Genomic DNA, 19330 nt, shown 5'->3' on the forward strand with positions numbered 1-19330 from the left:
TTATCTTGTCTACCTGCTGATTTCATTCAAAAGATGGTGTGTTCTATCTGGAAGGTAGGTGTCTTACTCATCGTTTAATCTCCAATGTCTAGCACAGTAATTAAACTTAATAGATATCTTAGAAATCTGCCCAGTATCCCAATTTCTAAGCCCTGACTTGATTTTGCCAACCTCCCTCCCACTTAGGTGGTGAGATACCTGGTAGCCAATTTTCCTGAAACCAAATGCTCCTTTGGCTATTTGAATATCACCTTCTCTTGGATTCTTTCCTCATCGCTGATGTCCATCTCTGACAGGACATCCCACTATTCTTAATGCCAATTTCTATTCTCTTTTAAAGAGATCCAATTCACTCACATGACCACATTTTAATGTGGGTTATTTTCAAATGTACTATTGTCAGCCTTTTTTCCCCTGAAATAATGACATTTAAAGTCAACTCTGTGCCTGGCAATGCCTCTTTTACAAATGAAGAAATCAAGGCTTGTAGAGGTTAAATGGCTGACCATCTTTTCAACTCCTAAAGAGCCAGTATTGAATCTAGGTCCATCTGACTAGTCTTTGCTCTTTCTACCATACATCACAGCCTTTAATTTTGCTCTTTCTTTTGACTGTTGCATGATATTAGCATTTGGAAGCACAAAACACAGGTCCCCAGGGCTGGAGTATGAGTCAGATTATGAAGACACTTACACCTTTGTTCACTTTGCAGTGGTTTGAATAGTGCCCTGCAAAAAGGCATATCCAAGTCCTAACCTCCAGTATCTGTGAACGTGGTGTTACTTTGAAACAGAGTCTTTGCAGATTGCTATAGAATGAATGTTTGTGTCTCCCCTGAATATTTCACATGTGGAAATCTTAGCCCCCAGTGTGATGATATTAGGAGGTAGGGCCTTTAGAAGCTGACTTAGTCCACTTTGTGCTTCTATAACAGACCATCTGAGAGTGAAGAATTTATAAAGCACAAAAAATTATTTTCCCACAGTTCTGGAGGCTGAGAAGTCCAAGCAGGTTCAGTTGTCTGATGAGGGTCTGGTCTCTGTTTCCAGGATGTTACCTTGAACACCTTGTCATCCTGAGGGGAGGAATGCCAAGCCCCTATGACCTGAACAGCTCTCAAAAGGCAACACCACCCAATGCTGTTGCATTGGAGATTAAATTTCCGAACATGAATTTTTGGGGACACATTCACATCATAGAAGGAAATGATGGGTGATTAGCTATCACTATTCATGATTAGTTCTCATGAATAGGATTAGTGCCTTTATAAAATAGATCCAAGAGAATTGGTTTGTTTCTTCCACCATGTGAGGACACAGTGACATCTATGAATCAGGAAACAGGCCTTCACCAGACACTAAATCTCTAAGCATGTTGATCTTGGATGTCCCAACCTCCAAAACTGTGAGAAATAAAGCTCTGTTGTTTATAAGCCACCTAGTCCATATTCTGTTATAGCAGCCCAAATGAACTAAGACAGATGTTTTTAAGGATCTTGAGATCACTCTGAATTTAGGATGAGCCCTTATCCTTATAAGAGGACAGAATGGCAACATACACTAAGATGATATGAACATAGAAGCAGAGATTGGAGTGATCACTCTACTAGGCAAGGAATACCAATAATTGCCAACCGCTACCAGAAGCTAAGAAAGAGGGATGGAGCAGATATACGCTTAGAGCCTCCAGAAGGCTCTGATTTCTTACTTCTAACCTCTGGAACTGTAAGACAACAAATTTCTGTTGTTTAAAGCCACCAAGTTTGTGTGTTACAAATACACACTTCAAGTTCAACACATGAAAAATTTGAACTCAAAACCTTTCTTCCCAATCTGGTCCTCCTGTGTTCCCTTAGTGAATGATATCACCATCTAGTCAGACACCTCAAAGTAGTTCTATACTATTTCTGGAATGATCTTTCTAAAATACAAATCTGATCATGTCACTCCTCACCCTCAAGCTTACCATACTCCAATACCTTTCATGATAAAATTTAAGCTCCTTATATTTGGTCCTTCACCAAATTTTGGTCCTTCACCAAAAGGTTAGAAACTTTTGGTCCTTCTGCCCCTTTCTAGCCTTGTTTCCTGCCTGTCCCACACACACATCCAACGTGACTACAGAGGAGTCAGGGAATCAGAGACAAAGTAATCTATCCCTTTATCCCTGTGCAATATTTGCAGCCCCCATCTGCTTGCCCGAACTCAAGTTCTTAATGGCTCTGTTCCTTTGCATATGTGGCTCTTTCTCCTTTTAATCTAGCTGTCTCTACTTGTCCACTAAAACTCAGATCAAGGGATATCTTTTCTGAAAAGCCTTTCTTAAACCTTCTCCCAATCATACATTTCTGATTTGTGTGGACCTCTCTGTGATCCCCAAGCATGCTGCTATTGTCACATCACACTATACTGAAATTTATTTATTTGTCCATCTGTTTTAGTTATCTGTGAATTCATGCCTCTCCAGATTCTTCCCATTTTTCAGAACCAACCTCAGTCCTACCTCCTCCTGACAATCACAGCCAGTCCTTATTCCTCTTTCCTTTTAACTATTATTGCACTAATTTGCTGTAACACCCATTTGATACTTAGTGCAGTATCTTGTTACTTTACTTTTCATGCATATACAGTTTGCTTCTGATTAGACTGAGTTCCTTACAAAGCAGAGGTAATGTGTTATTATTTTCCATGTTGCTCTAAGTCCTGAACACATTAAGAACCAAGTATATAATACATACTTAATAGCTCTGATGAATATTAAATTAATTTTTTCTATTGGGTAAAAAATATTACTAGCATCTAAGTATCTCTGACATCGGTATCTAATGCTCACCATACCATACCCCAGAGAAGGCCACTAGACTAACCCTCATCTCTGTGTCTTCTAAGTGCTCTTTCAAGGGTCCAGTTCTGCCCCTTCCATACTTAACCTCTGTGACCTCCAATGTGATATAAAAGAGACCCAATCATACAGTTTTTCTATTTACAGCCCTTTGCTGCCTCCCCACTGCCTATGAAATAAAGATCAATTCCTTTAGCCTGATACATAAGACCCATCATAGTTGAAACCAGGACTATCTTTGCAGTCTTGTCTCTGATTCCCTGACTACTCTGTAGTCACATTGGACTACTATTTGTCATTTTCTGCCCCTCCATTCAATTTCATGCCTCTTTGCTATGATTCTTCCTGTTTCAAGTTGCTCTTCTCTTCCTGGTGAACGTCTCTCCATCCTTCCAAAACAGGCTCTAAACATTACCTTTCTATGACTTTCCCTGATCCTTTTTCAGAAGATGGGAAAGGAGGCAAAGGAGGAGTCATTGTTTCCGCAGAACGTTTATCTACTCTAACTGACAACATTGAAGTATGGTTGCTTTTCTCTTTCTTGAATAGATTATGAGATTCTAGGGAACAGAGACTGAGCTTAATTCTGTCCATGCTTAAGGCAGATGGTTGTGTCACACTAGAAATCCAGTAAATGTTTATTAAAAGTGCTGAAAAGGATCTATTTCAACATCACTCATCCTAGGGACTATCTCGTGCTATCCCATATCCCTCTCCTGATGTGCTTAAGGACATCTTGCAAGGTAGACCATATCCACTGTGTCTCTGCAATAGCTTGATATGTCCTGAGCTTACTCCTCCTCGGGGGATTTTCACAGAACCATGACCTTGCCATTGCATTTAGCTAGCAGAGCTGAAAAGATGGAGGGTGAGGACGCCTTCTTTTCTGAAAAACCTATGATGGAAACCTGGGTTGCGATAGGAAAAATATTTTGCAGCTCTCCAAAATCACACTACATCTACCTTGGGTTTTTTCTCCTTCTAATCTGTATTTGTTGCAAATGTTCTATAGTTTATTTAGGGGCTAAGGTGATACACTTGTGATATATTTAAAATTTCCTCTTGTTTTTATAGTTTAATCAATAGTGCACATGAAATAATTGTACAAAAAAATTCTGAACTGCTGCTCTGTGTGGGTAGTGCTCCTTGGTATGACACAGCAAACAGCATTCTTCCTTCTGTCAGTGGGGGAACCTGCCTCCCACTCAGTTCCCAATAAATTCATTTGTTCTCCAATGGGTGTTTTTTAGAAAATATTTTCCTTTCCCTTAATGTGGCAGAGAAAAGGACAAAACAGAACTCCTGAAAGGAGAATACAGAACACTCAGGTTAGAAAACACTTAAGTGGACAAAGAAGTGTTTTGCTACCTACAAGAACAAAGTGCCTCTGAGCACAAAGGGCCTAAGCAATACCTTGGATAAACATTGCATTTAAAGGCAACTTTATGCAAGTGGGTCAGCAAAGACTAAAAGATTTTCTTCAAATAGTAATACAGGCCCTGATCCAAAGACACAAGATCCAAACACAGACAGCAGAAGGAGAAGAATACCGTGGCTCAGCCAGGAAAGGATGAGGAGTGCTTAAAAGAGCATCCAAGCCAAACACAGGTTGTTCTTATCAGCCCCTGGCTAAGGGTTAGCAACTGTCCTTAGTGAAGAAGACTTGAAATTAAGATGAAAATCCTACTGCGTAATATAATCCCCTGTAATTTATTGCATATATTTATGTTTGGTGTAGTGTGAACTAAATATACATAGCTCTCACTTCAGCTCTCACTTCAGGCAGTGGATTCAGCTCATCTTTTGTTGGCTTCTTAAAATGCCCAATTAAAAATCTTTCAAGCTGACTGATGTAGGTAAAAATCCAGGGTAGACAAAATTAAAATCTATTCCAAGGCCGGGCATGGTGGCTCACGCCTGTAATCCCAGCACTTTGGGAGGACGAGGTGGGCGTATCACCTGAGGTCATGAGTTTGAAAGCAGCCTGACCAACATGGAGAAAGCCCGTTTCTACTAAAAATATAAAATTAGCCGGGCGTAGTGGTGCATGCCTGTAATCTCAGCTACTCGGGAGGCTGAGGCAGAAGAATTGCTTGAACTCGAGAGATGGAGGTTGAGGTGAGCCAAGATGATGCCATTGCACCCCAGCCTGGGTGACGAGAGTGAAACCCCGTCTCAAAAACAAACAAAAACCCTATTCCATCTACGTACTTGACACATTATCCTTTCTAGAACAAATCACTCCTGGCTAGGTAGTAGAATTATGACACCGTAAGAACCACGAATTGGCTGTTAAAATTGCCTTCTATCTCAGTGGATTATGACATCAGATACAAAGCAGCCAATCACATCCTTTCCTTTCCAATCTGTTTCCTTTTCCTTCCTCTCTTCCTCCTCCTGGCTCCCAACTTGTTTCTTCTTTCTTATGTGCCAGTTGCTGTGCTGAGGATATGAAGCTAAATAAGCCTCTCTCCTTTTCCTCATGAAGCTCAAAAGCTTAGATAGGAAGCAAATAAATATAATATAGCATGATAATTGCAAGAATATTAACATGTCCAAAAGTTAAAGAGAGAAAGCATAAAGAAGAAAGTGATGAGCTCTGAGGGGTTGAGGTAATTAGGAAAAGTTTATCAGTTTAAGCTGGGTTTAAATTTGTTAAAAGTGCAACTATAGAGAACTTCCTTGACTGGAGGTTAGAAATAGTAGTTATTCTAGCAAGCTGGCAGAATAAATTTTACTAAAAAAGGGAGCCCAACTTTTGGTGATTGGCTAATGCGCCCAAAATCAATGCTTGACCTAAGGTGAACTATGAACCAAAAATTGAAACAAAGATCAAGATTTGCTCAATCTTGAACCTAATCAGTATGGTAAAACAGTATTAAAGACTGTCAGAACTGCAGGGGATCTGGGAGCTCATCTATTCCATATTACTCATTTTATAGATGAAAAAAATGTCTCCAAGTGATTAAAGATTTATATGAAGTCATAAGAATTCACTAATTGGCAGAGTGTGAGATAAAGCAACAGTGTTTATGTTTTGAGTTTGCTGTTCTTTCAACTTCTCCCAAAATTGCTTAATTGGTAATGTCCTAAAATAATCAAATTAGGACAAAATTTGAGCATCAGAATATTCCCCAAAGAGAATCATTACTTATCGGATATTTTCTGTCATATGTGAAAAAAACGAGGCTTATCAACTTTTATTTATTTATTTATTTGAGACAGAGTCTCCTCACTCTGTCACTCAAGACAAGAGTGCAGTGGCGCCATCTTGGCTTACTGCAACCTCCGCCTCTTGGGTTCAAGTGATTCTCATGCCTCAGCCTCCCGAGTAGCTGGGACTACAGATGTGCACCACCTAATTTTTACATTTTTAGTAGAGACAGGGTTTTGCCATGTTGGCCAGGCTGGTTTCAAACTCCTGGCCTCAAGTAATATGCCTGTCTTGCCCTCTCAAAGTGCTGAGATTATAGGCGTGAGCCACCACTCCCGGCCAAGACTTATCAACTTTTAAAATAGAATCTCAGCCATATTGACTACATGCTTATAATTTAACACACATGGACTCTTTAATTAGCAATATAAACTATTTGCACTCTAGGCTTTTGCTCTCTCTTAAATTGATTGCTATTTAGCACCCATCAAAAGCTCTGCAGAGGGGACCATCATTAACGGCATTTACGAAGACATCCACTTATTCCAACAGGTATGCAAGTTCTAAGCTTGTATCAAATAACATCACCTGAGAACTAAAAATGGAGTGTCAATTACTTGGCCTGCTCTTTGATGAGCTGTTCTAGCGTTACTCCTTCAGCATTCATCAAAGGTGGTTTCACAAAACAATAATATCAAGATTTTTTCTACATATTTTTTAAAAAAATTTATTAAGAGATCTTTCATCTAGGTTGTCCAATACTCTTTGGAAATGAGCAAACACATTGTAGATTGGTACCAATAAAATATGTTTTCATTGAAACAGCTAGTATGTGTACTTTAAACATCAATCATTATCATAAAACTCATTTTCCTTTCTGCTTTGGCTTCCACTAAGCCCAGAAAAATAATATAAAATGACGCTCTTAGTACATGGGCGTACATTTTGGGCATATTTGCTTTTTCCTTTAAAAATATTACTAATCTGACAGTATTTTCAAGTGTCTTACTATAAGCCATCTCAGATCCTTTTTTGGAAGTACTAGGGTAGAGAGGGTAAATAATGAATAAACATGTGAAACATTTCCTTTATTTTGATCAGCAGGAGGAAGACCAACGCTTCTTATCATAAACACAAGTTCCTGCTATACACAACACATCCTTGAATTCTAGGGAAGCCAAGATGTACATGAAATGACTGCAGGTCTTAAAGGTCTTGAATCTAATTGTGGCACTGGGGCATATGTAGAGATAAATATCACGTAGCATATGCTAAGGTGATTTCGAAGATCTATTCTATCTTAAGACACTGTAAGTCTAATTATTAAATGAGCAATACAGACATTTAGTCAAAGTGTGTTCTGTTTTGAGGGAGCTGCTTAAATACTGGTATTTTAGCCAATATTTTTCTTTCTGAGGGTTGTAAAATTTGGGGGTAACTGTATTAGTCCATTTTCATGCTGCTGATAAAGACATACCCAAGACTAGGCAATTTAAAAAAGAAAGAGGTTAAATTGACTTACAGTTCCACATGGCTGGGGATGCCTCACAATCCTGGCAGAAGGCAAGGAGGAGCAAGTCACATCTTACATGAATGGCAGCAGGCAGAGATAGCTTGTGCAGGAAAACTCTCCTTTTTTAAAAAACACCAGATCTTGGGAGACTTATTCACTATCAGGAGAACAGCATAGGAAAGACCTGCCTCCATGGTTCAATTACCTCCCACTGGGTCCCTCCCACAACCTGTGGAAATTCAAGATGAGATTTGGGTGGGAACACAGCCAAACCATATCATTCTGCCCCCTGACCCCTCCCAAATCTCATGTTCTCACATTTCAAAAGCAATCATGCCTTCCCAACAGTTCCCCAAAGTCTTAACTCATTTCAGCATTAACTCAAAAGTCCACAGTCCAAAGTCCAAAGTCTCATCCTAGAGAAGGCAAGTCCCTTCCACCTATGAGCCTTTAAAATCAAAAGCAAGTTACACGTTGTGCACATGTACCCTAGAACTTAAAGTATAATAAAAAAAAAAAATCAAATCAAATCAAAAGCAAGTTAGTTACTTCCTAGATACAATGGGGATACAGGCATTGGGTAAATACAGCCATTCCAAATGGGAGAAATTGGCCAAAACAAAGGGGCTACAGGCCCCATGCAAGTCTGAAATCCAGTGGGATAGTCAAATTTTTTTATTTTTATTTTATTTATTTATTTATTTATTTATTTATTTATTTATTTATTTATTTTTTTTGGTGACAGAGTCTTGCTCTGTCACCCAGGCTGGAATGCAGTGGTGTGATCTCAGCTCACTGCAACCTCCATCTCCCAGGTTCAAGTGATTCTCCTGCCTCAGCCTCCTGAGTAGCTGGGATTACAGGCACCCGCCACCACGCTCAAGTAGAGACAGGGTTTTGCCATGTTGGCCAGGCTGGTTTCAAACTCCTGACCTCAGGTGACCCACCCACCTCAGCCTCCCAAAGTGCTGGGATTACAGGTGTGTGTTACCGCATCTGGCCAGTCAAATCTTAAAGCTCCAAAATGATCTCCTTTGAGCCCATGTCTCACATCCAGGTCATGCTGATGCAAGAGGTGGGTTCCCATGGTCTTGGGCAGCTCTGCCCCTGTGGCTTTGCAGGGTACAGCCTCCCTCTGGGCTGCCTTTACAGGCCAGTGTTGAGTGTCTGTGGCTTTTGCAGGCACACAGTACAAGCTTTCTGTGGATATACCATTCTAGGGTCTGGAGGACAGAGGCTTCTCACAGCTCCACTAGGCAGCACCCCAGTAGGGACTCTTTGTGGGGGTTCACACCCCACATTAACCTTCTGCACTGCCCTAGCAGAGGTTCTCCATGAGGGCCCCACCCCTGCAGCAAACTTTTGCCTGGGCATCTAGGTGTTTCCATACATCTTCTGAAATCTAGGCAGAGGTTCCCAAACCTCAACTCTTGACTTCTGTGTACTTGCAGGCTCAATACCACATGAAAGCTCCCAAGGCTTGAGGCTTGTACTCTCTGAAGCCATGGCCAGAGCTCTACATTGGCCCCTTTCAGCCATGGCTGGAGTGGCTGGGACGCAGGGCATCAAGTCCCTAGGCTGCCCTGGAGACATGCCCTGGAGATATTTTCACCATTGTCTTGGGGATTAACATTTGGCTCCTTGTTACTTATGCAAATTTCTGTAGCCCGCTTGAATTTCTCCTCTGAAAATGGGATTTTCTTTTATATTGCGTTGTCAGGCTGCAAATTTTCTGAACTTTTATGCTCTGCTTCCCTTTCAAAATGGAATGCCTTTAACAGCACCCAAGTCACCTCTTGAATGCTTTGCTACTTAGAAATTTCTTCTGCCAGATAACCTAAATCATCTCTCTCAAGTTCAAAGTTCCACAAATCTCTAGGTCAGGGGCAAAATGCTGCCAGTCTCTTTGCTAAAACATAAAAAGAGTCACCTTTGCTCCAGTTCCCAACAAATTCCTCATTTCCATCCACCTCAGCCTGGATTTCATAGTCTATATCATTATCAGCATTTTGGTCAAAGCCATTTGACAAGACTCTAGGGAGTTCGAAACGTTCCTACATTTTCCTGTCTTCTTCAGAGTCCTCCAAACTGTTCCAACCTCTGCCTGTTACTCAGTTCCAGAAAGTTACTCAGTTCCTAAAGTGCTCCACATTTTTGGATATATTTTCAGTGGCGCTGCAATCCCCATAAGAATTTACTGTATTAGTTGGTTTACAAGCTGCTGAGACGGGGCAATTTACAAAAGAAAGAGGTTGAATGGACTTACAGTTCCACATGGCGAGGGAGGCCTCACAATCATGGTGGGAGGCAAGGAGGAGCAAGTAACATCTTATATGGGCGGCAGCAAGCTTGTGCAGGGAAAATTCCCTTTTTCAAAACCACCAGATCTTGTGAGACTTACTCACTATCACGAGAATAGTACAGGAAAGACCTGACTCCATGGTTCAATTACCTCTCACTGGACCCCTCCCACAACACGTGGAATCCAAGATGAGATTTTGGCAAGGACTCAGCCAAACCATGTTAGTAACTGTTTGGGGTAACTTTTTTCTGAATAAGTTTTCATACAAACAATTCATATTCATGATAGAAACTTGAAAAAATCAGAAAAATATAAAAGAGCAATTAAAATAACCCACAATTATACCTTGGGTTCACATTGTGTAATTTAACACAGTGTATACAATTTAGTGTTCTGCCTTTTTCGTTATAGTGAAAATTTGTAGATAGTATATATTCTACAACAACAAGATTTTTAGTGTGCAACATTTCATTATTTGCTTAACCATTACCCTATTGTTGGAGGTTTAGATTGTTTACAACTAGTTTTCTTTATTAAATATAAACATACTAATCCACATTCTTAATAATAGCAAATGTAGGCCAGTATTAGTTTATATTTAATAAACAGCAATTACTAGAGCAATTGCTACTGCATTTTGCCAAGCATTGTACTAAATACATGAATTATCTTACTAAGTTTCATAATAATCCTATGAGAGAATTATTTTCCTTTTACAGATGATGAAACCAAGGATTACAGGCTAATTAAGGTGCTCACAGCAAGGAAAAATCCTTTACCTCTAATTTATCTGACATAAATGTTCCAATATGGGTTTTTATGAATAAGTAAATGGGACTGTTCAAAGATTCCAAATGCCTGTAGAAATATGTAATTATTAGGTCCAAATTGAGAAATTTGAAGTTTTTCTCAATTCATTTTACATATATATATATATATATATATATATATATATGAAGTTGTTTAATGAATATTTAGCTGTTTTGTTGAGTGGGTATTTTTAACATTAGAAATTATTATTCTACTCCAATCAAATAACATGTTATACCCCTATAGTCCTTATTTTGTGGTCTACAGAAAATAGTAGGAACACAGGCTCCAAAACTGAGCCTTTCATTTTCATTAGCAGATAGTAAAGCCACTGTAATCAAGAGAAATAAAAAATGAGAGGTGGTGAAAATTCTTGATTTTACAATACTTGAATATATGCAGTGTTCACAGATTTTCAAGTACCTACAGAGATGAAACTAAGTTAAACTAGCTAGCTAACCAGCTGAGGCTCTGCTCCCCACCGCTGTTTTAATGAATGGATAGGAATGATTTATAATCAGCACATTTTTTGATGGTATATAAAAGAGCTTGCTTCGAAAGCGCTTAAAGATGGTCGAAATGGTTTCCTAAGTAGTTGAACCTGTTTCTGTAGCAGAATACACACTTTTGAAATAGTGCCAAACTAGGTCAAGAAAGTCCCAATTAGAGAATTCAGAATTAAATGAAGCTTTAGAGTGCTCAATGACTCTAAAAAAAAAAGTACTAAAATACATACTGCCAAATCTTATCCAAACCTGAGGGATTAACTTTAATTTGTGAACATCCTGGAGCTAAACTCTATTAACTTGGGTACCCACCCAGTGGGTCAAGGAACAAAGTAAAAGCTAGAAGTAAGAAGTACTGAAATTTTAGTTACAAGTTTCATACAGGTAAACCCAAGGCGCTACAAATGAAGAATTAAAGGAATGAAAGGCGAAAGAATAAAGGGGCCAAAGAGGTGATCTCCTGAGAGCCTAGCCCCAAACTTCTATAGAGACTTAACTTCTGCTTTTCTGGACACGCGTGGGCACCCAGAACCCCGAATGGGGAGGAATGCTGTAGACGCCCTGCTGCCCTCCAGCCCGCGCGGCTGCGCGTCTCAGTCCACCCCTGGGGCGCGCGGCTGTCACCCAGGGCGGGGCGGCGCGGGCGTTGCCACGACGCGGGCCGCGCGCGTCCCTGGCAGCCAACCCGTCCACGTCAAGGTTTGTTTAATAATCGCCAGGGTATCTATGGCCGGGCTCAGGCGGCTGCTGGGGAGCCAGGAGACCGCGCGGGACGGCGGATGAGGCGCGGCGGCTGCGGCCCAGGGCACCTCCCCTCTGGCTTCCCGAACCCGGCCAGGTCCGACCCGAGGGGGAGGATGGAAACACCTGCCGCGCTCTGAGCCCCCCAGAAGAGAACACCCTTCCCGCCATATCACCCCACGGTCCTGCGGAGGCCACCGCCTGGTCCCCCCAAGTCTCCATCGCGCAGCGTGGGGCCGAGAGGAATAGTGAGCGATGGCGGAAAACCTGAAAAGACTGGTCTCAAACGAAACTTTACGAACGTTGCAGGAAAAGCTAGACTTCTGGCTGAAGGAGTACAACGTGAGTCTGGGTGAAAAACCCCCGGGGTTCGCCCTCCCATAGGTTCCAGCACAGCCCTTGTCGGGGATTTCTTAGGGCTGGAGTTGGTGGCCACTTTGCAAAGCCTCCGCGGTTGCGATTCCTAACCAGGATCTCAGCTTTCGACCGGGATCGCTGGGGAAGGAAGGACATGTGTGTACATGCCCTTGTCTCAGAGCTTCGGGAGGCGGCGCGCAGGCGGCCTGCGGAGCGCAGCACTAGGCTGCGGAGACTGGAGAGTGCTTCCAATCAGTGGTAACTAAGGACGCCGGCGACCTAGCAATAGGGAAGCCCTGCTGTCCGCGGCTGGTCTGGTCATGCCTGCCACTCTTTCCCATCCCCCTTGCCAGCGCAATCCACACCGCCTGCTTCCCCAATCCCGAATTATTTTTTACTACAACCCTCTCCTGCCCAGGGTTTGTATCAGAATGGATTTGTATAAACACACACCCAGGAGTTATTTACCCAGAAATCAGCGAAACGGACACTTGTTAACGTTGCGGGTTTCACTTGCGTGCTGGTGGGCCTGGAAATTGAGGCACAGTTCCAACACCAGGGCGGATTCAGGCCTTTTTCCAGGCATTTGTGAGAAGCCAGTATTCTGTCACCAAACCCATGAGCACTTTTCAAATCTCATTAATCCCTACTCGCACCCTGCCTCCCCATAATTCCCCCCTTCCCCCAAATAGAACGGTGAGTGTTGAATTTGCTTTACATTCGGTCGGTCCGTCTTAAATAGGGATTTCCCCTCTTACATAATAAGTGGAGCGGCCAGGCAAAAGAACTGTGGACCGGAAATTAGCCCCCCCTTGTTTCTACATTTGGCTCTGCATAGAACTAGCTGAATGACGGAGTCAAATTATTTAACTTCTCTTGGTCTTAGTACCTCATCTGTGAAATAGCAGAGATTGGTCTAGATGATATGTAAATTTCCTGTTCAGATTTTAAGTTTTTGAGCCTAGATTAGCTTGTTTCTGAGATCCTGCCTGTTATGAGGTCCTTAGGCTTCCCCATTCACCCTTTAACCAGTGCTCCTGAAGTGGAGGGGAGCTCAAAGAGCAGCTACAGCTTTCTCCTTAGCCTTCCTTTCTAGTGCTTCCTGTTCAGTCCTTTGCTCCCTTTTAAAGAACAAGCGCTGACCATTCCTTCTCCATTAAGAATTCTGGAAAGTTAAAATGACCTCTTTATCATAAAAGACTTGGGTTCCCCCCAACTAATTTTAAAAGTACCTACTACTTAGTCTCAGGAGGTTGAGAATAAGAAATTCTAACATGTATACAGTATTTACCCCTTTTTTTTTGCCCAGTGGCCTAACTAAACTCTGAATTTTAAAAAAACATGTTGTTTGTCACAATGTTTATTACAAATAACACTAGGATTTGTCTGGAACTAATAAACAATTATTTTAGAAACTCCCTGTAAGTGATGAGAAGTGCCTTAGTTTATTACATTTTCCTGTCTTGATAACATCCCATTCTCTGCTCTCATTAAAACCATTTCCATCCAGCTGTTTTCCCTTCATCTCTCTACAGTAGAGGCTGCACTCACAGCCACCAGTGTTTTTCATACCTTGTGGCCACTCCCCAGGTTCCATCATTTCTCTTGAGTTTGCAGGCATCATTATCACATTGGAATGTTGACACCTGTATTCTTCCCCCTCCACTCCTGCTTCATCTGTTACAAGTATGCTGATGAATCTTATTTCTATAGGATGTGTTCCCATCTGAGCTCTCACTTCTCCAACTGCCCATTGGACATCTTTCAATAGTGAATGCTATTGAAATGCTCAGAATGCTCAAAGTCAAATCTGTCCAAAATGGAATTTAGCCTCTCCCATGCCCCAACCACAGGTCTCATTTTTCTAAGTCGTCTTCATCATTATATACTCCACTCCCTTTTCACCATCATAATCTGTTGGTTCTAACTTCAAAGTTCATACGGAATCTAAACACTTTTCACCACCCCCACTGCTACCACCCTTCTCCATCCTTGATCATCTTTCACCTGGATTATTACAAAAATAACAACCCAAAGAGATGCTTCTAAATGTCAAGTCAGATCAAGTTACTCTTTTTGCAAGACACTCCAAATTTCCTATTTCAGTCAGAAGAAGCCAAAGCTCCTACAGTGACCTTCAAAGTCCTACACAATTGTGCCCCTTTAAGCTCTTTAACCTTATCTGTTACTCTCTCCCTTGCTCAGCCCACTCCAGCAGTACCAGCTTTCTTGCTCGTCCTAGAGCAATGCTGTCCAATAGAACTTTCTATGATGATGGACAGGTTCTATATCTGCATTGTCCAATAAGGTGACTATTGGGCACTTGAAATGTGGCAAGTACACACTGAAGAACAGAATTTTTAATTTGACTTAAGTCCAATTTAAATTCAGATAGCCACATGCAGCTCATGGCTGCTGTCTCAGACAGCACAGTTCTAGAGATGTGGACATGCTTCTGCTTCAGGGCATTTGCACTCACTGTTTTCTCTGCCTGAAAAACTTTTCACCTGTTGATATTTGAGTGAGATAGTAACATCCTCACTTTCTTAGGAGAGCTTTATTTCTTAGAAAGGGTAGCAACCTGCAGGCTGGGAAGCAGGCCCCTGCTGAAACCAGAGGCAGGCACTTGGAGGTAGGAAAGGTAAGGCAGGAATTAATGATGAATGGGTTGGCCACATGTATACATATTCAACAGGTAATATTCACGAAGGGGGAACGCTCACAAGCATAGTAAGCAAACATGCATGTTACGTTCATCCTATATTCATTTTGGGGTAGAAGCTTAACATTTAAATGTATTACAATTAGGCCCTATACATCAAAGGTGGAGGCAGGGACATGAAGGAACTTAGTGTACAGCCTCTGTGGACCGGCCAGAACCAGCCTATGGTCCGTGATCTCTTATCAAGAGAAAGTTACTGAAATCAGTCTCTTATCCAGTTGAAGTTGCAGTTATGGACTGTGGAACGGGAGGGGATCAGTTAGTCAGAGTCTGGTGGTCAGTGAGTTGCAATTGTTTTAACATTGTTTATCTCGAGGCCAGTACTTGCTTAGCTACTAGATAAAAAGAAAAAACCTTTTGACAATTAGAACATGGTTGATTCTTTATGTGTAGGGGTATGTGACTTAATCCTTGCCTGGCATGACCTTAGGTCTTTATCTTATTGCTGTAAAGAGTCTGTTATATTAGTCTTAAGATCTCTATTTTAACAGTAGCTTCATGCAGTCCAGAAAATTTTGCCTGTAACAGAACTAGCAGTATTTTTGCAGCAATCATGGTAGCCAAAGGAGGCTCTTAGCCCATATTTGTGTGACAGGGGTTAGTGACTTTAAAAGAACATGTCTTTATGTTAATAATGTTGGTGGTTGTATTCCTGAATATTTTATTCTTTTCTATTAACTCTTGCTTTCCTGTCTGCACAAAGCCATTAGAATGTGTTTGAAGTTTACTTATTTCAGTTCTACACTTATAACGTGGAAACTTCTTATTCATTTCCCTGCCTTCATTCATGCCCACTTCCAATCCAACTTTGATACAGCTGTTTGAAGCATCATTTTTATGGCTCTCATTGCCAATACTAGTGATTCTCAACACAGGCAAGGCATTGTCCCCTAGAACATTGTTTTTAAAACTTACCTACAGGACTCAATGCATTTTACTTCACAATATAGCACACATAAACCCTTATACTTAAAAACTCAAGTTTCATTAATAATTCTTACCTTTACTCATTGTGGTGTGTTTCTCTATTTTCTTTTTAGTATTATTTGCTGTTTGAGACTCACTAAATTGGTTTTGTTACCCACTAATGCTGTGGTTATCAATCTTCATTGCATATAGGAATTGTCTAAAAAGCTTTTATGTTTCCAATGACCAGGCCCCACGCGAGAGCAATTAAATCAATTTCTAGGAGTGGGAGCCCACAAAGCTCCTCAGGCAAAGGCTTTCCTGAAACTTCGTGGCCCTTACCAGCTTCTCTTTTGAGTTTTACCTCTGAAATCTGGACCAATTTTTATTATAGTAAGTAGCATGTGTTTTTGCATTTATTTTCGTGTTTATCTTAGACTCTAAATTCCTCCAGGGCAGGAGACATTGTGTCCCTAGCATCTACTGCATAGTGGCGTCTCCATAAAATTTCTTGAGAGTATAAATGCATGAATAAACCATGCCCTTCTGCTTCTTGAAACCATCTGCTTCTTCGGCCTCCTTATTCTTCTTCATCTTGCTTCCTGGGTGTCCTCTCATTTCTGATTGCTCTTGTTTTGTTTTTTATTCACTGGCTCTTCTTACTCAGACCACTTCTGACATAGCAAAATTGCCCCTCATTCTGCCCTCAGCCCTCTCCTCACTCTTTCCTCTCCCTGGTAATCTCATCTGTGCATGTGGCTTCTGCACTCTCCCACTTGCTGAAGCCTCCCAAAGCCACACCTCCCAGTCCTGTCTCTCTTCTAAGCTCCAGACTTACTTTCCATCTGCTTTGGGGAAAGCATTGTGTTTGAGAGCTCAGCTCCAGTGCTGGAGGCTGCAGGAATGGGTCTCCACCATTGTCTCTTCAAATTACTTAATTTGTTTTTCCTCAGTGGTGAATTTTGGATGATGATGGCATCCCATTTGTAGGATTGTTCTGAGGATTAAATGGAGCCATGTATATAAAGCTCTTAGCACAGGGCCTGGCTGGCATATAGTAGGTGATCAGTAATTATTAGGTACCACTACTGGACATTCCATCCGAAGGTCCTGCAGGCCCCCTGACTTGTTCAAACCCAAACTCAGGATCATCCCTCTCATACCTCTTACTCATTTCTAAACTCTCTGACCTTCTTAGGTAATGCTGAAATCGGTGGGACCTTTACTGGCACAGGTGTAATTTGGGGCTGGGAAGGACCTTTGGGAGACCCTTAGTATGTCTATAGCCTCCAGCATCTCTCAGCTAGATGGTTATACCCATCTACCTCCCCACCAGACTCACCCTGTGACCCAAAGTCTATCTGGTCTGCTTTTGCCAGACAGATTTTTGTAACATGCAAAGCAAATATGAGCATGTCACACCCACCTTCCTCTGTTGCATCCTTAAACATTTTGATGATGGAATAAAGCCCAAGACCCTTAATGTGGCAAGTCAAGTCTTTCAGACTTGGTCTCTGGACCCTGTACTCACTTTCCGCTAATATGCCTTGGTGCCTTCTGTTCCTCCTCTTGAAATGCCCTTCCCTCTTACCCTTCACACCTCACCAGAGGTTATTTTTCTGCTCCTATAGCTTGTTATCCACACAGAGCACTTAATATAAACTCTAAGGTAATTATTTATCCCCTTGTTCTTATCTTGTTCTCCATCTCACTTCCCCATCTAATTAGTTCACTGACTGCAGGCAACTTTTTTTTTTTAATATAGCTTTGTTTCCTGAGCTTTGTTTCCAGGGCCTTACATATAATAGAAACTCAATGATTTATGAATGAATAAATCTGGAGAGTCTGTGCTTTGGAGACAGTATAATTAGTCCATATCTTTGCTCTGGTTGTCTTGTGTGGGTATGTAAGTATGTGTTTACTAGAATAATGTGACCCTATTGCAACTTGATTATCTTGTGCAATGCTTTGTGTTTAGAAGTTGCAGCATGTTGTAACATGTCTTGGGAAGGGGAACTGTGTGGCATAGGATATTCTCTCCTGTTATTTAAGATGTGTTTAAAAACTCATTTGACCACCATTCCTCTGGGTACCCAGTATGTACCAGGCACTGGGCAAGGCATAGGAATAGATAGTAATGATACCACAATAATACTTCTAATTATTGTGTACCTCTTTTATGCTAGACTCTGCTCATGAGATCAGCTACCTCCTAAACAGAGGGAAACAGAGCCTCATATTTAAATGTCTTTTCTAAGGGAATGCAGCTGATAAGTTGAGAACCAGATTTGAACAAAGGTCTGCCTTATTCCTAAGCCACTGGCTCCTTTCAATACTGCATGCTACCTCATAGGTGCCAATTGATGAACACCTTCTGTGTCTGAGGTGCTGGGCGTGTATTATTTTGATTTAATTCTAATGCTCCACAAGGCATTATTATCCCCATTGCATGGGAGAGGAATGGGCTCAGAGAAGTTAAGTAACTTGTGCAGGGTCACATAGAACTGTGGCAAGCAGCAGAGCTGAGATACTCAGGTTTGCTTGACTCCCAAGCTCATTCTCCGTCCACTTAGCACATGGAATGATCTAGCCAGAGGGCAAAAGGCTTGTAAGCAGGTAATTGAAGTTCAGTGTAATAAGTGCAGGTATAAAATGGCCAGGGCAAGGAGCTGCTGAATTAACGAGGAAGAAATGGAGATAGCTGTTCAGGCTATGGGTTTTAAATGCTCTATCATGTCAACATTACACTGTTAAATTATTCATTCATCAACGTTGTTTAGACCCTTCAATTTGCTAGGATACTAGTGGCAATAGATACAAACATGAGCAAAGCAATATCATTTTTAAAAAGAACTCATGATCTTTTTGGGAGGAGAGATTAGATGGATGAGATGGAGAAAAAATGGCTGCAGGAGAAATCAATGCTACAACAGAATTAGTCATCAGGTACCATTTACCAAGCATGGAAATTAACCCAGCTGCCCTCTCAGTTACAAGTCCATCCCATCCAAACTCCATGCCAGGTGCGAAAGGCTCTCCAGGTCAACTTGCCCTGCCAACCTCTAAATGTCCTTCTGTGCCTCTGCCACATTGACATATTCAAGGTTGCCAAACTTGTTCCTGTCACAGAACCTTTGTCCTTGCTGTTCCCACTGCCTGGTAAGCTCTTTCCCTAGTGGTGTGCTTCCCTGAATCTTATAACCCAGGAATACTCAAGGGTCCCCTCCACAGAGAAGCCTTCCCTGGATGCCCTCCCCATTCACTCTTGGTTGCATCATCCAGTCCTCCATGTACTCCCAGCAAGAATCATGATCTAAAAGTCAGTATAGTTTAGTAGTTAAGAGCATGGGCTCTGGAAGCTGGGCTGCTGGGGTCCAATCTCAGCTCTGATAATTTACTAGCTGGGTAGCCAAGAACCAGTTACTTAACCTCTCTGTGCCTCAGCTTTCTCATCTGAAATGGGAATGATAATAATAAT

General features: G+C 41.5%; 1 protein-coding gene and 1 long non-coding RNA gene across 11 annotated transcripts in view, besides 5 other annotated features; both read left to right on the forward strand.

Annotated features, from left to right (window-relative positions):
- Nucleotides 5223-7337, forward strand: LINC02480 (long intergenic non-protein coding RNA 2480). The gene is made up of 3 exons (NR_147189.1): nucleotides 5223-5453; nucleotides 6443-6547; nucleotides 7097-7337. It is a non-coding gene; the product is annotated as a long intergenic non-protein coding RNA 2480 (long non-coding RNA).
- Nucleotides 11371-11872: an enhancer, noted in NCBI's record as "H3K27ac hESC enhancer chr4:52917119-52917620 (GRCh37/hg19 assembly coordinates)". NCBI's record gives its function as "activates a minimal SCP1, AML or CMV promoter by ChIP-STARR-seq in primed H9 embryonic stem cells {active_cell/tissue: H9 hESC(primed)}" and the evidence as "EXISTENCE:reporter gene assay evidence [ECO:0000049][PMID:30033119]".
- Nucleotides 11371-12514: a biological region, named in NCBI's record as "H3K27ac hESC enhancers GRCh37_chr4:52917119-52917620 and GRCh37_chr4:52917621-52918120".
- Nucleotides 11695-11994: a silencer, noted in NCBI's record as "silent region_15422". NCBI's record gives its function as "represses an Ori minimal core promoter by ATAC-STARR-seq in GM12878 lymphoblastoid cells {active_cell/tissue: GM12878}" and the evidence as "EXISTENCE:reporter gene assay evidence [ECO:0000049][PMID:35858748]".
- SPATA18 (spermatogenesis associated 18) overlaps nucleotides 11722-19330 on the forward strand; it is a 45996-nt gene continuing 38387 nt past the window's right edge. For all 10 annotated transcript variants that reach the window (NR_123728.2, NR_144359.2, XR_007096360.1 and 7 more), the window contains exon 1: nucleotides 11722-12209. Coding sequence is in view for 3 of the 10 variants with exons in the window: in NM_145263.4 (NP_660306.1) it covers nucleotides 12123-12209 (87 nt within the window). In the remaining 7 variants the exon portion in view is untranslated. The remainder of the gene's footprint in view (nucleotides 12210-19330) is intronic.
- Nucleotides 11873-12372: an enhancer, noted in NCBI's record as "H3K27ac hESC enhancer chr4:52917621-52918120 (GRCh37/hg19 assembly coordinates)". NCBI's record gives its function as "activates a minimal SCP1, AML or CMV promoter by ChIP-STARR-seq in naive H9 embryonic stem cells {active_cell/tissue: H9 hESC(naive)}" and the evidence as "EXISTENCE:reporter gene assay evidence [ECO:0000049][PMID:30033119]".
- Nucleotides 12165-12514: an enhancer, noted in NCBI's record as "active region_21553". NCBI's record gives its function as "activates an Ori minimal core promoter by ATAC-STARR-seq in GM12878 lymphoblastoid cells {active_cell/tissue: GM12878}" and the evidence as "EXISTENCE:reporter gene assay evidence [ECO:0000049][PMID:35858748]".

This window comes from Homo sapiens, chromosome 4 (assembly GCF_000001405.40).
Source record: "Homo sapiens chromosome 4, GRCh38.p14 Primary Assembly".
In the NCBI taxonomy this organism is placed as follows: domain Eukaryota; kingdom Metazoa; phylum Chordata; class Mammalia; order Primates; family Hominidae; genus Homo; species Homo sapiens.